Source organism: Homo sapiens, chromosome 12 (genome assembly GCF_000001405.40).
Source record: "Homo sapiens chromosome 12, GRCh38.p14 Primary Assembly".
NCBI lineage: Eukaryota > Metazoa > Chordata > Mammalia > Primates > Hominidae > Homo > Homo sapiens.
Window position 1 is genome coordinate 132007483 of NC_000012.12, and position 19789 is coordinate 132027271.

The following is a 19789-nucleotide window of genomic DNA, read 5'->3' on the forward strand; positions in this document are numbered from 1 at the left end:
GCCTCCTTTCCAGTCTTTAGAGTCAGCTCCTTGTTCACTCCCCTTCCTCTCTTGGCTTTTGGGTCAAGTGCCCACCCTAGTCTCCTGCTCTGTGCCTAGCTGCAGAGGAAGGTGTGACTTGTGTCTCTAACACAGGACAAGGTTTCACTGTTCTTGCTCTTGTAAGAGAAGTGTTCAGTAAACATCTTGGAATGTGGTTCCCACTATATGTTCCAGACTTAAAGTAGGCTTTGCTATTGCTGCAGAGAAGAGGGGATTTGGCCTTGTCTTTACATTTGAGCTTTGAACGTAAAGCTGGACACGTTTAAATTAGGAGGGTCAGCTTAGGGAAGCGATGACCCCATGGGTGCTCTGACTGAAGGCTGTGTGGAAAGAAATGGAACACAGTGGGCTTGTGGTGGGGGTCTCAGTCCAAGTAGCTTAAGGAGAGAGAGGCAGGGCTGAGGGTCCCTTCACCTCCAGCGAGGGTTCTTTTTTTTTTTGAGATGGAGTTTCACTCTTGTTGCCCAGGCTGGAGGTGTAATGGCACGATCTTGGCTCACTGCAACCTCCGCCTCCTGGGTTCAAGCGATTCTCCAGCCTCAGCCTCCCAAGTAGCTGGGATTATAGGCATGCGCCACCACACCCAGCTAATTTTGTATTTTTAGTAGAGATGGGGTTTCTCCATGTTGGTCAGGCTGGTCTCGAACTCCCAACCTCAGGTGATCCGCCTGCCTTGACCTTCCAAAATGCTGGGATTACAGGCGTGAGCCACCGCACCCGGCCTGAGGGTTCTTCTTAACAGTTCCCTTCTAAGCTGTTTGCATAGTTTGCCACAGCACTGTTGTTGAATACGTCTTCCTTGCCTTCTGTTTTGAAAAACTCGGTGCATCTCATGATAAGTTTTTAAGCATAAGCAGATCAACTTCTGAGCTTCATATTTTCTTCCATTATTTGTTTCTGTCTTTGGCCCGTGTCACACAGTTTAGATGTAGTGCTATAGCATACATTCATATGCATAGTTAATTCAAGATGGAAAAGCTACCTTGCCTTGCTACTTTATTATTTGGGTTAAAAGAGTGTTCACTGTTACAATAGTAAAATATTGGAAGTAGCCTATACATTTTTTTTTTTTTTGAGACAGAGTCTTGCTCTTTCACCCAGGCCAGAGTGCACTGGTGCACCCTTGGCTCACTGCACGTTCCGTCTCCTGGGCTCAAGAGGATCGCTTGAGGCCTCCTGGGCAGGAGGATCAAGGCGATCCTCCTGCCTCAGCCTCCCAAGTAGCTGGGACTACAGACGCTTGTCACTATGCCTGGCTAATTTTTTTGTATTTTTGGTAGAGACAGGGTTTCATTATGTTGCCCAGGCTGGTCTGGAACTCCTGAGCTCAAGTGATCCACCCACCTCAGCCTCCCAAAGTGCTGGGATTACAGGCGTGAGACACCGTGCCCAGCCTTTTTTTTTTTTTTTTTTTTTTTAGGAGCTGTTGCCCAGGTTGGAGTGCAGTGGCATGATCAGGGCTCACTACAGCCCTGACTTCCCAGGTGCAAGTGATCCTCCCACCTCAGCCTCCTAAGGAGCTACTTAGGAGGCTGAGGTGGGAGGATCACTGTAACTGAACAAAAAACTGGCTAAGTTTTATATTTTTGGCAGAGATAGGGTTTTGCCATGTTGCCAGGTTGGTCTTGAACTCCTGGGCTCAAGAGATCTGCCTGCCTTGGCTGCCCAAAGTGGTGGGATTACAGGCATGAGCCATCGTGCCCAGCCTGGAAGTAGCCTATGCTTCTAAAACTAGGGGATTGTGTTTTGTCAGTTGAACAGATGAGTGAATCAGTCAGCGTTCATTCATCTGCTCCTTACCTGATGACTGTCACAGACCCCAGGCACTTTTCTAGGTCCTGAGGTTGCAGCCCTGCTTTCAGGAACCCCACACTGGTACAGATGAACCTTGAAATGGGCTAATGACCCAGCATAGTGACAGGAGCCTGGCCAGCTGGAGCAAGGTCTCAGGGAGATGGGGCAGTGGGGGTGGGGGCTGCAAGTGCAGCTGGTGTCCAGGAACAGCACCGAGGCCAGTGTGAGGGTGAGAGGGTAAGAGGGTGTGAGGGGACGGTGGGGGATGACAACAGAAAGATTGCGGTCAGCCACGATAGAGGCCTATCAGGCCCTGGGAGCTGATGTGGCTTTGCCTTAGTGTGTGGTCTGCATCAGTGCAGGTGTTGGTACAGGTGTCTGCTCAGGCTAGAGAGCAGTGGTGTGATCATGGCTCACTGCAGCCTCAGCCTCCTGGGCTCCAGTGATCAACCCTCCTGCCTCAGCTTCCCAAATAGCTGGGAATACAGGTGTATGCCACCACGCCTGGCTAATTTTTTTTTTTTTTTTTTTTTTTTTGGAGAGATGAGGTCTTACTATGTTACCCTGGCTGATCTCGAACTCCTGGCCTCAAAAGATCCTCCTGCCTTGGCTTCCCAAAGTGCTGGGATTAGAGAGATTACAGCTGTGAGCCACCGTGCCTAGCCAGCTTTTCTTTTTTATTTATTTATTTTTTAAATCTTGTTTTTCACTGGGTGTTAAAATATCATCTGGATTTGATTTGTGTTTACCTACTCTGAGGTTGTGTCTTTTTTTTTTTTTTTTGAGACGGAGTTTTGCTCTGTTGCCCAGGCTGGATGGATTGCAGTGGCGTGATCTCAGCTCACTGCAACCTCTGCCTCCGGGTTCAAGTGATTCTCCTTCCTCAGCCTCCTGAGTAGCTGGGATTACAGGCACACGCCACCACGCCCAGCTAATTTTTGTATTTTTAGTAGAGACAGGGTTTCACCATATTGGTCAGGCCGGTCTTGAACTCCTGACCTCCTGATCTGCCTCCCTCAGCCTCTGAAAGTGTTGTGATTACAGGTGTGAGCCACTGCATGCAGCCGGTTGTGTCTTTTAAAGAGTTTATTGTCCTGTTATATTTTTTTCTTTGTGACATTTCTGTTCATATCCTTTGTTTATTTTCTATTGGGTGGTTCTTTTCCAGGATCAGCAGGAATGCTTTGCATATTAGCAGTAATGGCCATAGATGGATGTGTTGTAAATATTTGTTTAAAGTCTGCTAAGTCTGTCTTGTAACTTGGTTTATGTTACATTTATAGCACAGAAGTTGAAATTTGTATGTATTCCTCTAATAATCTTTAAAAACCTTAGTTTTCTCGCCAGGCTTGGTGGCTCATGCCTCTAATCCCAGCACGTTGGGAGGCCGAGGTAGGCGGGTCACCTGAGGTCAGGAGTTTGAGACCAGCCTGGCCAACATGGTGACACCCCGTCTCTACTAAAAATACAAAAATTAGCTGGGCATGATGGCGTGTGCCTGTAATCCCAGCTACACAGGAGGCTGAGGCAGGAGAATCGCTTGAACCTGGGAGGCAGAGGTTGCAGTGAGCCGAGATTGTGCCGTTGGACTCCAGCCTGGGTGACAAGAGCAACACTCCATCTTAAAAAAAACAAAATCTTAGTTTTCTGAAGAATGAAATTTGAAACAACATATTTTAGGATGGTTTGGATGTGCCCTGACTAAAGCTTGGGAAGCAGCGATGGACACAAGCCCTTGGCTAACAAAACACAGTTTAGACGCCTGCTGTGTGGGTGCCTGGCTTGTGGGAAGGACTTGAGCAGGGTCTGGGGCTCTCTTAGTCTGTGAGTCCACTTTCTGAGTGTTACTCGTTTCCCCTGGGATCTTGGAGGGGTTTTCTGTGGTTTGAATGAACACTAGTGTCTTCTTGGGACTGCTCGTTCAATGTGTGTCTACTAAGGCCTCCTCTGGTGCAGGCTTGGTGCTTGTGCAGCAGCGCCCTGGGGGCCAAGGAGCAGCTTCTGGGCAGTGTGCTGGCTCCAGATGAATGCACTTGTTCCCCCCCAAGTCTGCCTCAGTCGTGCGATGGCTCATGTGACACATACTCATACTGATGAAGCGTCTCTGGTCAGACACAGTGCTAGGTGCCTGGACATGACAGATACTTTGACGTGGAAAATTCTGTTTTTTGCTTTGTAGGTAATTGGGGCCCCCATCTTGTTGTTGTGAGAAGTTGTAACATACTCAAGTGGGAGCTTGAATTGAAACGTTGGTGTCCCGGACTCAAAATCCTCTCATATATTGGCAGCCACAGAGAACTCAAAGCAAAGAGACAGGTATTTTTTTTTTAAACATAAAATAAAGCTAAACAGAAAGCCATGTTAATTTTTATAAAAGACACATTAAAAAATGTGAAGACATGCTTATTCATGGAATTATTAAAGATCACTCATTCATGAGTTAACAGACCTTTATGTTGTTCCCCTCGAAAGCATAGACAATACCGCATCGGCCTGGCCATTCCTTGTGAGGAGGGCCACGCACTCGCAGGCCCAGGTGTGCACAGATCTCAGTGTCACTGCCCAGAAAGTGGGGCAGTTTGCTCCGAAAATGGTATTCTCTGGGACAGTGCAACACTTTCCCCCTGGAGGCCCTGCTGGCTTCCACAGGCACAGAGGAGAAGCTAGGTGCTCCCAGCTCTGAATTTAAAACCCATAGAACCATTTCCACAACATGCCTAATAGATAACGTTTCTGGAACAAATTTTAACTTATTAAAGATTTTTGTCTGCCCTATAGTTTCTAGTACTAGGTCACTGAAGGTAGATTCATCACAGTTTTCCATTGAGTAGAACGTTTTGGACCATTAGACATCATTGTGTTGAGTAGTGTTTACTGAAAAAGTGAGCTTTCAGTAGTATTTTCTTTTTTACTATTGTAGTCTGTTTTTGGTGCTATTGCAAAATACCACAGACTGGGTAATTTGTAAGTATAGAAATTTATTTCTCACAGTTCTGGAGGCTGTGAAGTCCAAGATCCAGATGCCAGCAGATTTAGTGTCTGGTGAGGGCCTGGTTTCCGCTTCCCAGATGGGGCCTTGCTGCTGCACATTTTGGAGGGGACATGGCGGAAGGGATGGAAGGGCAAAAGGGTCCAAGCTGGTTCCCTCCAGCCCTTTCATACTGCACAAGTTCATCCTTGAGAGCAGGGAAGTCTCCACTTCTTAATACTACCACCATGGGCATTAGATTTCAACATGAGTTTTGGAGGGAACACATTCAAGCCATAGTACTATGTCTGGCTTTTAGTTTGTTTTTAAAAAGTGTATAATGCAGTCAGTTGCAATACAGATGTTGACATCTCTTATTTTTCTGAGCACACTTCCCCTTGTTTTGATTAGATACTAGAAGAGCTCGCCCTGCTTCAGGATCCTCTGCCATAATCTCAGTATTTTCCAAATGGTAATTGTCAGCGCCTGCAAAATAGCTTCTTAATTTGTCAACGAAACTGCTTTAGACCCCTAGAGGTAGAGATAAAAACATAAACACAGCCGTTTTCTGTGCGGTAATAGCAAGTTATTTAAAAAAGCAAGTAAAATTATAGGTGGGAACGGAGTCACTGGGTGGCAAGCTTTGGGAAGTGTGTGTCCTCAAGGTGATTTTGAAAGACAGTGGAGTGTGAAGGCACTGAGCTGTCCTCTCTGTGCTGCAGGAGTGGGCCGAACCCAACAGCTTCCACGTCTGCATCACGTCCTACACTCAGTTCTTCCGGGGCCTCACCGCCTTCACACGAGTGCGCTGGAAGTGCCTGGTCATTGATGAGATGCAGCGCGTGAAGGGCATGACCGAGAGGCACTGGGAAGCGGTTTTCACCCTGCAGAGGTCTGTGTGTTACGCGCTTGTCATTGAGTGTTCTTTGCTGTTGATGTAGAAGATTCTCTTGAAGAAATCTGCATAATTGCAGACACAAACAATGGCCTTTGAGCTAGAGAATTGCTTTTCATCTTCATCCCAGCACATGGGCCAGAGAGCCCCAGAGCTGGGTCAGTGCAGCCCCCCTTTTCAGGCATGTGCACGTTGACATTTGCGGTGTCAAATTACTGTCCCTTTTCTCACACATTGTCAGAGAAGATGCTGCTGCAGCCAGCCCCGTGGCTGTAGAACTCCAGTGTTGTCTCTTGTCCTGTTTGCAGCCAACAACGTCTGCTTCTGATCGACTCGCCGCTGCACAATACCTTCCTGGAGCTCTGGACCATGGTGCACTTCCTGGTCCCAGGGATCTCCAGGCCCTACCTGAGCTCCCCTCTGAGGGCCCCCAGTGAAGAGAGCCAGGATTACTACCATAAAGTGGTCATAAGGTTACACAGGGTAGGTTGGGTTCTGCCATTTCAGTTAATTAATTAAACATGCGTATGCCTTGTTATAAACGTGTTACAGCAGCATTTTTGGAAAGAAAACAGTAAACAGTTTTTATTTTCAGGTGACACAGCCATTTATTTTGAGGAGAACTAAGAGAGATGTGGAAAAGCAACTAACAAAGAAATATGAGCATGTTTTGAAGTGTCGCCTTTCTAACCGACAAAAAGCCTTATACGAGGACGTTATCCTGCAACCTGGGTGAGTGTGGGCTCTGGGCATGTGCCCCCTTTGCTGTCCCTGCCTGTGAGGGAAAACGGCCCTTTCTGTGGCCTCAGCAGAAAGCTCCTTTCCGCAAGGATTGGGTGTCTGGAGCTGGAGACCGAGGCACCCTCCTGGGGGCAGCAGGCTCTGCAGCCTCAGGTGTTTCCAGCTGTTTCAGGCTCATGCTGGTCCTGCTGCACTTCCCGTCTCAGAAGCCCCACTCCTGTGTAGCTGCCCACGTGTAGGGTGGTGTCCTGGTGCTGCTCCCTGTGTTGCCCAGAGAATTCTGTGAATTTTAGTTTCCATTCATCCGGGAGGGATGGTGATTGAGCAGCTCGCCTTCCCACAGCCAGCTGGAGGCCCCAGGACTTGGGTCGGCTGTGGCCCACCGGAGGTGGCACGCTGGTGTCTGTGGCGCAATGAGTCGTGCGTTGCATGGGGTGGAATGCGCCACGCAATGCACACCATGTGATGGCCAGCCGCTGTGCCTCTGTCTGGCAGGGACGTGCTGGTGCCAGAAGCTGTGCCCTTTGAGTTGACACAGAGTGTGGGGCCCCCTTTGACCCTCTCCGAGGTCTTCAGATGTGCATGGTTTTGGTCTGTCAGGCTTTCCATTTTCCTGAGTTTAGATGAAAAAAACACAAAAAACCCTGGAAATCAAGTTTTGGAGGATTTGAAATTTATCTGTGCTTAGTCATCACACCTCACTCTCTGCTGGGGGTGTGGCCATGAGGCTTTGCTGCAGGGTTACCCCCTACCCCGTGCCACCTCAGCCTCAGCGTCCCTCACAGGCACAGTCAGACACACTGGATCAGGTGACCCCACTCTTCCCCCAGCCACGTGCTGATGTGCTCCCCTCCTTGTGGGGAGATGACATGGGGACCCTGATGAGGTGCTGTGGCGGGAGCAGACGCCAGGTGATCGTATGAGTGCACTCTGGCCGTGGCACAGCAGACTGTGGTTTGTGGAGACTAGGGGTGAGGCCATGCTAGCCACACCCCACCCCCCGTCCTGGGTCTCCCTCTCTGTGCCTCATCCTCTGCTCTGGGTCTCCTTCTCTGTGCCTCATCCTCTGCTCTGGGTCTCCCTCTCTGTGCCTCATCCTCTGCTCTGCAGCCAGAGGGCGTGCACTCATGGGCTCGCCAGGGTTCTGTGCATGCGCATGTGGAGCCTGGGCACCCTCGAGAGGCAGGTGCCTGTGAATGCAGCATGCTTAATCCTGGTGAGTGGAGATTTCAGGAGGGAAGGTAAGTGTGCATGATGACTGTGGAATTTCTCAGTCCTCCACAAATGACACAGTACAACCGTCCTTTCTCCAAGAGGCGGAGCAGTGGAGCAGCACTTCATTCCACACCATTAGTGGCGAGACTCTCCAAGCATTGTAGAAACTTTGTATGTGTGGACAGAAACCGCTTTGCCATGTTGCTGAAGCTCTGGTGTCAGATTTTTCAGTAGAATACTGAAATCAGCCTATGTCAGCTTTGGTAACATACTAGTTGTCATTTGAGTGGAGAGGACTCATAACTTTATGCAGGTTTTGAGCGCCAGCCTATCAGGGAAGTCACGTTGACCACGCCCTGCGTACAGAGACCGTCTTAGGGAGTCCGACCCATTGCCCTTCTGTGGTTGTGCCCACACAATATGGTGGTTTGCCTTCAGGGTTGCAGTGTCGTCTGAGGTGTGAGAGGCTGGTGGCCCTGGGACCTGTTGGGGGAAAGCACGTCTTATTCTGCTGGTCTTAGGCCAGCTTTGTGGCATCTGCTCCCTGGGTTAATGGCAGGAGAGCGCTTGGACTCCTCAAGCACATTTTCCTCTTTCTTTCCGGGCCTGTGAAATCAAGCTTTAGTGCATTAGGTGTGCGCACGCCTCGCCCCCCTGGAGCACCTGGTAATCAAGTGTTTGGGCGCTGTCTGGTGCTTGACGGGATCCTTGGGTGGCCCAGGAGCGTCCTGTCCTGGTCAGCTCCCCCCTCCTCTTGCAGGGACCATGCCACACCCGCTGCCGTGAGGGTGGCACCCATGTTTCTGTACCACGAGCTCCAGAGCTGCCAGACCAGACTCCCTACCTGCCCAGACCCCCCTGTGCTTGTGCCGGCCTCTCCTGGTTCCTGTTAGCCAGGGCAAGTTGCCTTTCTGTTACCAGCCAGTTCATATGGGCTTTAAGCTCCATCCCTTCTCCGGAACCATCCGTCGTCTCAGCCATTCTTTTTGAAGCATGTGATTTGCCCTGGCCCTTGTGCATGTAAGTCCTTCCCTGGCCTCTTTTCCTTCCCACCGCTGCTCTCTAGAGCCAGGCTCACAGGAGCTCTCCTGATGCTTGTCTCCATTTTTCGGTCTCCACTCATTTCTCAGCCCCCATGCAATGTGCTCCTCACGCATCAAGGCCTAGCTGTGTGGGGACTCAGGACTCCAGGCGCCGTCTCTCCTGTGGAGCCCTCCTGCTTTTTTTTTCTTTTTTTTCCTTTTTCTTGAGATGGAGTCTCGCTCTTGTCACCTAGGCTGGAGTGCAGTGGCACGATCTGGGCTCACTGCAACCTCTGCCTCCCAGGTTCAAGTGATTCTCCTGCCTCAGCCTCTCGAGTTGCTGGGATTACAGGCATGTGCCACCACACCTGGCTAATTTTTTTTGCATTTTTAGTAGAGACGGGGTTTTACCATGTTGGCCAGGCTGGTCTCAAACCCCTGACCTCTAGTGATCCGCCCACCTTGGCCTCCCAAAGTGCTGGGATTGCAGGCATGAGCCACCGCACCCGGCCTTGGTTGGGTTCTGTGGTGCGTACTGCTGTCATGGTAGCTTCTGTCACCTGCACTTGAGCTGACCCTTGAGCTCCTCACGTCCGGCGTGGCAGAACTGAGCTCGTGTTTTCCCAAGCCTGGCTCCCTCCCTGGTGTTCCTGTTTTAGGGTGTGCGCCACCATCGACCAAGTTGTTTGAGTTGGAAATTTGCCATTGCTCTCTCCTCCCTCCTCTTCCCACAAGTCTGCCATCTCCTTCCTGAGTCTCTCTCCCGACCAGTTACCTGTCGTCACTATCACCCCGGTTTCCTCCCTCAGGCCGCCTGGTGCACTGTGCTCACACCAGAGAGCTACTCCCCACCATGGTCCCATTTCCTGCCCAGCCCTGGTCCCAGTGTGCGTTGTAGGTCCTTCTGTCTGCCCCCTTCACTGGGTGGTAAGCCGCACAGGGCATGGACCTGGGTCCTCGTCTACCCCCGCTCACTGCCTGCAGGGCCAGTGTAGGACCAGGCGTCAGAGCTGCCGAGCGGGTGTGTGAGGGGCTTTACTCTGCTGCGCTCACCCTGCCCCTCACTTTGCTCATCCCCCTTGGATGCCCCCACTTCTCTTTCAGAGCACTCGGTATGATTGTGAATGAAGTGGAGTGGCTGTCTTTCCGTCAGCTCTGGTGGGGCGGATGTCATTCTCAATGGGGATGGCGAACAAGTGCAGAGGGGCCTGCCTGGGATGTGGACTTGAATGGCCACTCTGTCTAACTCATTAAGCGGACCTAGAAAATCTGCTCCTGCCTGCCTTTCTGGAGTTGGGACAGTCGATGGTGAGGGTGGGACTATGTCCATGTGCCGTTTGGATTGAATGCTTCGTGTTTCTTTCTCCACGGGCAGCACTCAGGAGGCCTTGAAGAGCGGGCACTTTGTCAACGTCCTGAGCATCCTTGTGCGGCTGCAGCGCATCTGCAACCACCCTGGGCTCGTCGAGCCCCGGCACCCAGGCTCTTCCTACGTGGCGGGGCCACTGGAGTATCCGTCCGCATCTCTAATCCTGAAGGCACTGGAGAGAGATTTCTGGAAGGTAAGTGGAGGATCCAGAAAGCGGAATTACTGTTGGATATCTTTTCTAGGCACATTATAGATAAAACCATTCTTGGAAATGGGTTCTCAACCAGCTCTTCTGCAATTGCAATTGCAGCTCCGCGATACATGGCACCGTCTAGCAGCACTGATGGCCTGCCACCCCTTGCCGGAGTGTTCCACCTCCGGAAATTTACCCGAGGGAGACAGGCTCACAGAGTGGAAAGATGCAGAGGGCAGGCTTTCTTGGCGTTGTGTGGATTGTGGGCTGTGAGAAGTAGCTGAGCATGCACGCTCATCAGCAGAGCTTCACCAAGGGTGTGGCAGCACCTGTGTATTGGCACGGAGGAGGGTCTGCTTGCCGAGTGGCCGTTAGAGGGGGCGCGTCTGGATGCCCACGTTAGGGCCCTGCCATAGAAATCAGTTTTGATTCTTAGGTGCTTTTTTTGCCTCTTCATGCAGCAAGACTTTTTTTCTTTTTCTCTCTAGGAAGCAGATCTTTCTATGTTTGATCTCATCGGCTTAGAAAATAAAATCACTCGTCACGAGGCAGAGTTGCTGTCTAAGAAAAAGATACCGCGGAAACTCATGGAGGAAATCTCCACTTCAGCAGCCCCAGCAGCCCGACCAGCAGCAGCAAAGCTGAAGGCCAGCAGGTGCGTGCGACCCAGAGGCAGCGGGGAGGGTTGGCTCCCAGGGCCCCCACAGCTGACCCAGGTCTATGCGTGGTGAAAAGAAAGGCTGCTAATGTAGTTAGGTTATCTGCTGCTCTTGGGACCTTGCTGGTGTCCTTGGCTGTGGTATGCCTGGCTCTGCAGATGCCTTTTAGGCTGTGTGGTGCAGTGCAACTGCTTGCCTCCCTGAGCAGCAACCTCCTTGATCGTCTTTGCAGCAGTTTTAGGGTAGGGTGGGTGTCAGGGCTGCATTTGACCTGGTGCCTCGTGTGGTGGAGGCTGGTGTGGCCGAACCACACATGTGTCGTGAGTGTGGCAGGCAGAGGACTCCACCCCCACGGTGATGTCATTGTCTTAACAAGTGACATGTGAGTGATTCTGAAGTGATGCTTTTGCGGGTGTCATGAGGCTGGGAGGGACAGACACGTTAGATGATTAAAACGAGATATAAATGACTCATAGTCTAAATCTAGCAATTGGAAATATCCAAAATCCTATGCTTGGGTTAAAAAGAAAGGAAAGGAAAGGAAATAGGTATTTGGAGATGAAGGGGCCAGCTCTGCAGACAGTCTTGTGATCCTTGCCATTCCAGGAGTTCTGCAGTCTTTCTTGTTGGCACTTCTGTATTTGGCTTCACTGGGGACTTTGAGTGGATCACCGTCCCCTCATCAGTACCAGAGGTTTCTGCTTAGCTTGAGGACTCACGACCCAGCAGGCTGCTCCTCAGAGAGCCTGCAGCCATCAGTTAAATGAACAGCACCCATTCCAGTGGGTGCTAGTCTGTCTTTTTAAAATGGCTTTTTACAAAAAAGTTTATAAAAGTTTTTAATAGAGACAGAGGTCTCCCTGTGTTGCCAGGCTGGTCTTGAACTCTTGGGCTCAAGGGACCCTCCTGCCTTGGTCCCCCAAAGTGGTAGAATTACAGGTGTGAGACCACACGCCCGGCCTAAAAATGGCTTTTGATGGCCGTCTCTGCCTGTTACATTGTATAGGGGTTTTGAAAATGGCCAATATAGTTCCCAGCTTAAAGTGGGCACAGTGGCTCATGCCTGTAATCCCAGTGCTTTGGGAAGCCAAGCTGGCGGGATTGCTTGAGCCCAGGAGTTGGAGACCAGCCTGGGCAACATTGGGAGACCCTGTCTCTCCAAAAAAAAAAATCAAATCCAGGCGTGGTGGTGCACACCTGTATTCCTAGCTACTTAGAGGCTGAGGCAAGAGGATTGCTTGAAGCCGGGAGTTTGAGGCAACAGTGAACCATCACTTGAACGGCTGCTTGATCAGACTTTTGTCAAGTTGATGTTTCTCCTCACTCCCCTCAGCCCTTGTGCTGTAATAGATGCGTTGTTTTCTATCTACATTGATATGATTGTGAAAGTTAAAACAGCATTCACCCTTGTATTCCCAGGAATCTGGGTGGATGTACCATACCACTTTGGTGTACTTAGTCTTGTTAGCCACTGCGCCCGGGCCCGGGGTGAGCTTACCTAGAGCAGTACTTAGGCATCTTTCCCCTTCCCTCTGTAAACTGCACTCTGGGTGCTGGTCCCTGAGCTGGCTTCCTATGGGCAGCGGTGAACCCCGGCTCCATGAGGTGGCCTGTCCTCTCTGTGGTCTGATGCTCTGTATCTTCTTGCCTGGACCAATGGGCATCTAGGTTGTTTCAGCCTGTGCAGTATGGCCAGAAGCCCGAGGGTCGCACCGTGGCTTTCCCCAGCACTCACCCGCCCCGGACGGCAGCCCCCACCACGGCCTCTGCTGCTCCACAGGGCCCGCTTCGAGGACGGCCGCCCATCGCCACGTTCTCTGCCAATCCGGAGGCAAAAGGTAGACTTCACGTAGTTGTCTGCTCTCCGCCTTATGGAGGTTTTTGTGGGACAAGTTCATGGCACTTTCTTCTCGCGCCTCTGGATGCGGTAATTGTCCCTGAGTGGGAACAGGCACCACCCGCTGGCTTTCTGAAGGTGCCTTGTTTAGTTCTTGATGAGTTTTAGACTTTTTGATGGCTTGTAATGGATGTTTTCCCTATTGAAGAAGCTTCACTCCTAGGTGATAAGTGTTGATCTGATGCTCACAGCCACTGGGCAGGCTGTTTCTGTTGACAGAGGTGCGTGCGTGCAGTCGTCTAGGAGACTCCTGAGAACGTCTGCTCATATTGTATTTTGTGCTGTCACTTGAACTTAATTATTCTTTTGAGGAAGGGTAGAGTAGAAAAGGCCATCAAAAGAGTTAAAAGTAGTATTTCACCACCTGGCCAAAGGGGCCCTCCACGCCATGTCCATCCAGGTTTTCTGAGCTAAAAATAAATGCTCAGACCTGCATTGTTGCCAGCATTCTCTATAGAAATATGAGTGGAAGCTCTGTTGATGTTTTCTTTGTGTGTTTAGGAAATAGTTTCTAATTGATACTAATGTTTGGTTGGGCTGACTTCTAACAGTTTCTGTTTACTCTGAGAAATGTACCGCGTAGCGTACTGTAGCTCGAAGTGAAGATAATTATCAACAAGTAAAATTATATTTCTCTCACCCTGTAAACTATATGGCCCCTCTTTTTTTCCTTAAGAGGGGACTTCTCATTTGAGAGACGGTGTGAAATGTTTATTTTATTTCTTTAAAATTCAGTTTAAAATATTGTATTTTATTAAGAACCTCTAACAGCTTTGCACAAACAAACCTTATCGATTGCAGCAGCAGCAGCCCCGTTTCAGACCTCTCAGGCTTCCGCCAGTGCTCCACGACACCAGCCCGCCTCGGCCTCCAGCACAGCCGCTAGCCCGGCCCATCCTGCGAAACTGCGGGCCCAGACCACAGCACAGGCCTCCACCCCAGGCCAGCCCCCGCCCCAGCCCCAGGCCCCCTCGCACGCGGCCGGGCAGAGCGCGCTGCCTCAGAGGCTGGTGCTCCCCTCGCAGGCCCAGGCCCGCTTGCCCAGTAAGTGGCCTCACCTTTCCAGGTTTCTGCCATCTCTCTACCCCAGAGGAGTTGTGTTAAGAACACGGGGATGTAGGAGGAGCCTTGCTGTCCACTCCTTTGTCTTTCCCCAGCCCCATGCCCGGTGCTGCCTCTCACCAGTGCAGCTGCCTCCGGCATGAGTCTAGCAGGGAGCGCCTCTGTGGAGGCCACATCCGGCCTTCTCCTGTCTGTGCTCTCTCTCCTGACCCCGCCATCCAGCTCTGCTTTTCTGCTGCACTCACTCACTGCTTTGGTGCTGTGGACGGCACTTCCCAGTGTTAGCCCCGGCCTTGTTCCACCAGCCACACAGGTGCACTCTGGGGGAGCAGATGCTCCTAGAGTGACAGCGACTGCATTTGGGAAGGTCGCTTCCTTGCCAGTCATGTGAACTAGCTTTAGGTTCCTAAAAAACATTAGCTCTTTTTAGTCTCTCGCCTGTTACCAAATTTAAACTTGGGATTGCTCAACCAAGATAACTTGTAATAATTTATGACTTAAAAAACACAGTTATTAATTTTTTTAATACAGAACATTTTGCTGTGTCCAGTGGGATTAGTATGTTTTCAAACCTTACATGTACCCTATTCATTCTGTGGTGGAAATTATCCTGACTTAAAGTATTATGTTATTTCTCAAGTGCCACCTCAACTCCTTTTGTTGTTGGTATAGCCAAATTATGTGGAGGCCTTTCTGGAAAGATGCAGATGGGAGAGGGAGTGATGCACAGAGACACTTGAGTTCAAACTAATTCTCTTTCCTTACAAGTCTCTCTCTCCCATTGCCCAAAAATAAAGAGGAATTGTCCTAGTTAAGTGCCCTAAGGGAGAAAGCAGTTGCATATTTTACATCTTCATCAAACTAGACACTGTCTTGCGTGGGATGAGAGTCATGTTGGTGGTTGCCAGAGGAGCTGTTCTTTGGGAGATCTGTGAAGTGAGCAAAACTGCTTTTCCTGTGGGTCGGTCCTCACCTGTGTATGGAACAAGGAGGATTGTTGAGAGATTGACACTTCTATGCACAAATCTCTGTCTTCTGTTTTCATTTTCCCCTCCTTGTTCACGGTTATTCTGTGGGCAAGATATCTCTAGACATTTTTCTAGCCTCTTACTAACTATTCTTTTTATCATATCACTAATAATTCTGGCATGGATTTCTCGGGAAGAACATTTAGATTCAAGTATCAACCATTGGGAAATAAGTCTTTAAACCTGTTGTTCAGTTGTAGCCGGAAGGTAGTACCTTTTTGAGTTGGGGGCAAATGACCACATCTGAGTTATGTTTTTTCAAAAAAAGTGTTTTAAGCAACGCTAAGTTTTACTTTTTTTTTTTTTAAACAGTAAATGTTATAGATTGACGCTTACCATCTAATTCAAATTAGTATGAAGCTTTATATCTTAAAGCTTTATTTATGTATGTGATTTCTTTATGTATCTAGAGGCATTGCTAGATCTTGTAGACACCGTGGCTCACACCTGTAGGCCCAGCTGCTTGGGAGGCTGAGGTGGGAGGATCGCTTGAACCCAGGAGTTTGAGGCTGCAGTGAGCTATAATCCTGCTACTGCCCTCCAGCTTGGGTGACAGCCAGACCCTGTCTCTCACAAAATAAATAAAAATACATTCTTAGATTTTGAAGAGTTATGGGTGTAATTGAAGCTAGTTATTTTTTTATATTTGTAAAGATATAATCTCTCTTTGTGAGCTAAATTGGACAGGTACTTTTCACATTTTTAAAGTTCTCTAAAGTTTAGGTTCATATGTGAGTTTCCAAGTGTATTACAAATACATTTCTGCTTTTTTTTTTTTTTTGGAGATGGAGTTTCACTCTTGTTGCCCAGACTGGGGTGCAATGGCCTGATCTTAGTTCACTGCAACCTCTGCCTCCCGGGTTCAAGCAATTCTTCTGCCTCAGCCTCGTGTGTAGCTCGGATTACAGGCGCCCACCACCATGCCCAGCTAATTTTTTTTTTTTTTTTTTTTTTTTTTTTGCATTTCTAGTAGAGATGGGTTTTCACCCTGTTGTCCAGGCTGGTCTCAAACTCCTGACCTCATGTGATCCACCCACCTCAGCCTCCCAAAGTGCTGGGATTACAGGCATGTGCCACTGCACCCAGCTGATTTCTGCTATTTTTGTTGTTTCGGTAGAAAAGTAAAATGTTCCTTAATAGCTTCGTTAATAATATCAATATCTGATATCTAAAATCCCAACCAATTATGGTTAAGTAAAGTTAACCATTAAAATCTGACATTTTGTTTTCTCTTTTTAATTAAAATAATTATTTTTAAGAAGTGGTAGAAAACACTACCTGATAAACATTTCTGTGGTGCTTCAGTTTATGATAGATGGTCATTATATACAAGAAACGACTGTCAATATGACACTCCCAAATTTTTTCCAAAATGATCTGAATTCACCTTTTCCTCTACGTTTCAACAGGTGGAGAGGTAGTGAAAATAGCTCAGCTGGCATCCATCACAGGACCACAGAGCCGCGTGGCTCAGCCAGAGACGCCGGTGACACTGCAGTTCCAGGGCAGCAAGTTCACCCTGTCACACAGCCAGCTCCGGCAGCTCACAGCGGGCCAGCCGCTGCAGCTGCAAGGTAAGGATAAGGATGAGAGAGCACTGATGCCAAAAATGACAAAAGCGCCTCACCATGAGCCCTGCTGCCCACGGGCCTGCCTTGTGCATTTAAGTGTCAGGCTTTTCCCTGTGTCCGATGATGCATCTCACCTCATGGGTTCATGGAAGACCAGCGAGATGACGTTCATCAGCCACCGGGTTGCCTGCACTTGATGCGTGTCAGATAAACAACAGGCACTTTCGTTACCAGCATCTGCGCTTTGAAGAGAGTTTCGTATTTTGTAGATCAAAGTAGAAATATTTGGCCAGGCGTGGTGGTGCTCTCCTGTGGTCCAAGCTACTCAGGAGGCTGAGGTGGGAAGATCACCTGAGCCCCAGAGGTTGAAACTGCAGTGAGCCGAGATCGTGTCACTGCACTCCAGCCTGGGTCACAGACTGAGACCCCATCTCTAAGTAATAGATAAGTAACAGAAATATTTGCTGCTTTCTAATATAGGTGTGAGACAAATTGTCCCTAAAACACCACAGGATTAGTAATTTTATGTATGAGAAATCATTTTCTTCTATCAGCAGACTTAATTTTAACTCCCAGACCCAAAGCCCAGACCTTTGGTGAAGAGCAGTGTGTTTATATAGTAACTGCTCTTTAAAAAAAGTGAGGGAGAGGAATTGAGTGGCGCCTTGTCCCCGTGGTGGGATCATTTGCTCCCTGTGTTTTTGTTTAGGGCTCAAGGAACACCCACAGCAGCCCCCGCAGCCTCCTTCCCCCACCTTCCTCGACAGCAGCCTCAGCGGCTACCTTCCCCCACCTTCCTCGACAGCAGCCTCAGCGGCTACCTTCCCTCACCTTCCTCGACAGCAGCCTCAGCGGCTGCCTCCCCGCCACCCCCCCACAGCAGCCCCGGTGGCACCTTCCCCCACCTTCCCTCACCTTCCTTCACCTTCCGTGACTGCAGCCTCAGCGACTGCCTTCCCCCAGTGCTTTCCTCATGATTGCTGCCTGTGGCACTTGTCAGGGTGGAGGGTTTCATCATCAGTAGGGTGAGCCCACTGACCTCCTTAGAGAGACACACACGTCTCAGCAGAACAAGGCCTGCCACAGAGAAACGATTCAGTCTGGTTTACTTCCTTTTTTTTTTTCTTAAAACAAAACAAAACAAAACAAAACATTTTTTGGCCCACAGAGGCTGGGTCGCTTGGTAACATCTCTGATGGCCGCCGGTTTATTCATAGAGATGACCTGGGAAACTATCTTCTCCAGAGTAAAAGAAGTCAGAAAGATGTAGTCACACAAGATCCAAAGTGGCAGCCTCGTTAAACAGCAGCAGAAAAGCCACAGGCATCTGGGCTAAAAACAGGGTTTTGTTCTATTTCTTCATTCTCCTTGACTGCTGTGATCTGGGAGTGGGGATGTCCGCCTCAGTACCTCGAACAGCATGGCAGGTCCTCAGCAGCTGTGTGTCACCCACCTTCCATGAGGGACAGAGGGTAGATGGCCTTTTCTTGACATGGAGCAAGATACCTTGTCTCTTAGTGTGTCGTCATCCACTGTCGGTGATGGGTTGCCACTTTCCTCACAGTAACTGAACTTTGCATTGATTTTTTTGTGTAGATTTGATTTTCAGTTTGTCAACTTATTTTTGTACTGTTTGGAAGTGCCTGGAGTGTGTGGCTGTGATGTACACATGCCTGTCATTGACACCTAGTGGACCTATGATTGCAGGCAGCGTCCTCCAGATCGTGTCCGCCCCCGGGCAGCCCTACCTTCGAGCCCCTGGCCCTGTGGTGATGCAGACCGTGTCTCAGGCGGGCGCTGTGCACGGCGCCCTGGGAAGCAAGCCCCCGGCCGGCGGTCCCAGCCCTGCACCCTTGACCCCACAAGGTAGGGTGCTCTGAGCAGGAGGGAGACTTGGCTTGGATGCTTCTTTCTCTTCCATCTAAGGCGAGTGGAAAGCATTCATGTGTCTTTGACTGTATCTCAGAACAGCACAGTCTAGTGTGTGGCCATCTCTGATTTCTATAGATGTGTCCTAGTGTCAGCCTGATTTATTTTCTTTTTCTTGTGCTTTCAAAGGTATTGGTTGGATATAACCAGCCTCCACTGTCCTTAGGTTTTTGTTTTGTTTGTGTTCTCACAAGAAATTTGGAATCATGAGAAATCTTGCTTGTTTGTATATCGCCAGTGTGCTCCGTTTCCCCTGGGAGTGGGAGTGTGTGGCCGCCCACGCAGGGTCTGGTTCTTTGTCCGGCCCGAGCTGCCACTCCTCATCCTGTCTCGCCACCTGCTTCACCTCTGAGTCCCCGCTCTGTGCCTGCCTTGGCCCCAGGTCTCTCTGGACATGCTCTGTCATGATGTGGTGTGTCCTCTGGAACCCAGAGACCCGTGGAGGCAGGTGGGAGCCTAGAGGGGTGAGGCTCTCTCCTTGGGATGGAGCCCTTGTCCTGGTGGCCGAGTGGTGTCCATTCAGTTCCAGCCCCACCTTTGCATAGTGGGCAGTGATGTTGGGTGGGTCACTGCCAACCTGTTAGGCTCTGTTAGTTATCAGAGGAGGCTGCAAGGCTGGAGTGGGGAGGGGCCATGGCTTGTTCTCCAGTCCTGTTAGCATCACCTAGCAGCAGTCCTGCATGCCAGCATGGTCAGCAGTTCCACTCACCAGGTTTTGCCGCTACCCCCAGAACCAGGCATCTTGGGGATTCCAGAACCAGCTGCTGCACCCTTCTTTGCGGGCTGATGAGTCACTGTCCCGTGGAAGCCCTCCTCAGCTTCAGAGGCCCCAGTACCAACTGGAGTCCTGGACCCTGAGGGTCTGAGCTCAGACACCCCCACCCCCAAGTGCTGAGTTCTGACAACCTCAGCCTCTCCTCTTGTTTTTCCCTAAGGTGACTCTTACCCCTGGGCCCCTTTTCAGCACTCAGACACCTCTTTGACCACATCTTTGTAGGAAAGTCTGCCGCACTAAGTGGCATGGCTTCTGCCTTCCTGATTGGCCCTGGCTGGTAGCAGGTGTCATGTCAGGAGCAGCTCCAGGGAACGGATATGAAACGGGCACTGGCTTGCTCTGTTGCAGTTGTGAGGACTGGGTGGACTTCCTGCCGGGGCTGGGCTGCTCATGGCAGGCAAGGGCCTCACAGTCATCAGGCGGTCACCTGGGCTAGGAGGTGGCCATGTGCTGATGGCGATGGGGTACCCAGGGCCTCGGAGGTGTGCTGGGATGCTTCTGGGTGGCTCTGGAGTGCCTCCCAAAAGAAAGGGATAAGCTGCTGGCTCCATTCAGCTCCAGTCATGGCCTGCGAGCCAGCATGCTTCCGTGGCAGGTCTAAAGCATTTAAGTTTGAGCCCATGCACATT

At 50.1% G+C, this 19789-nt stretch overlaps 1 protein-coding gene across 1 annotated transcript in view, besides 4 other annotated features; it reads left to right on the forward strand.

Moving 5' to 3' along the window:
* Positions 1-19789, forward strand: part of EP400 (E1A binding protein p400) — a 130519-nt gene that overhangs the window by 57541 nt on the left and 53189 nt on the right. The window contains exons 16-25 of the mRNA NM_015409.5: positions 4016-4152; positions 5527-5696; positions 6008-6182; positions 6295-6431; positions 10053-10239; positions 10728-10894; positions 12567-12736; positions 13597-13839; positions 16295-16459; positions 18164-18322. Of these exons, the coding sequence (NP_056224.3) occupies positions 4016-4152; positions 5527-5696; positions 6008-6182; positions 6295-6431; positions 10053-10239; positions 10728-10894; positions 12567-12736; positions 13597-13839; positions 16295-16459; positions 18164-18322 (1710 nt within the window). The remainder of the gene's footprint in view (positions 1-4015; positions 4153-5526; positions 5697-6007; positions 6183-6294; positions 6432-10052; positions 10240-10727; positions 10895-12566; positions 12737-13596; positions 13840-16294; positions 16460-18163; positions 18323-19789) is intronic.
* Positions 6324-7117: an enhancer, noted in NCBI's record as "H3K4me1 hESC enhancer chr12:132498351-132499144 (GRCh37/hg19 assembly coordinates)". NCBI's record gives its function as "activates a minimal SCP1, AML or CMV promoter by ChIP-STARR-seq in primed H9 embryonic stem cells {active_cell/tissue: H9 hESC(primed)}" and the evidence as "EXISTENCE:reporter gene assay evidence [ECO:0000049][PMID:30033119]".
* Positions 7118-7911: an enhancer, noted in NCBI's record as "H3K4me1 hESC enhancer chr12:132499145-132499938 (GRCh37/hg19 assembly coordinates)". NCBI's record gives its function as "activates a minimal SCP1, AML or CMV promoter by ChIP-STARR-seq in primed H9 embryonic stem cells {active_cell/tissue: H9 hESC(primed)}" and the evidence as "EXISTENCE:reporter gene assay evidence [ECO:0000049][PMID:30033119]".
* Positions 7921-8421: an enhancer, noted in NCBI's record as "H3K4me1 hESC enhancer chr12:132499948-132500448 (GRCh37/hg19 assembly coordinates)". NCBI's record gives its function as "activates a minimal SCP1, AML or CMV promoter by ChIP-STARR-seq in primed H9 embryonic stem cells {active_cell/tissue: H9 hESC(primed)}" and the evidence as "EXISTENCE:reporter gene assay evidence [ECO:0000049][PMID:30033119]".
* Positions 16413-17612: an enhancer, noted in NCBI's record as "BRD4-independent group 4 enhancer chr12:132508440-132509639 (GRCh37/hg19 assembly coordinates)". NCBI's record gives its function as "activates an origin of replication core promoter dependent on BRD2, P300/CBP, MED14 and CDK7 cofactors, and independent of BRD4, by STARR-seq in HCT116 cells {active_cell/tissue: HCT116}" and the evidence as "EXISTENCE:reporter gene assay evidence [ECO:0000049][PMID:35650434]".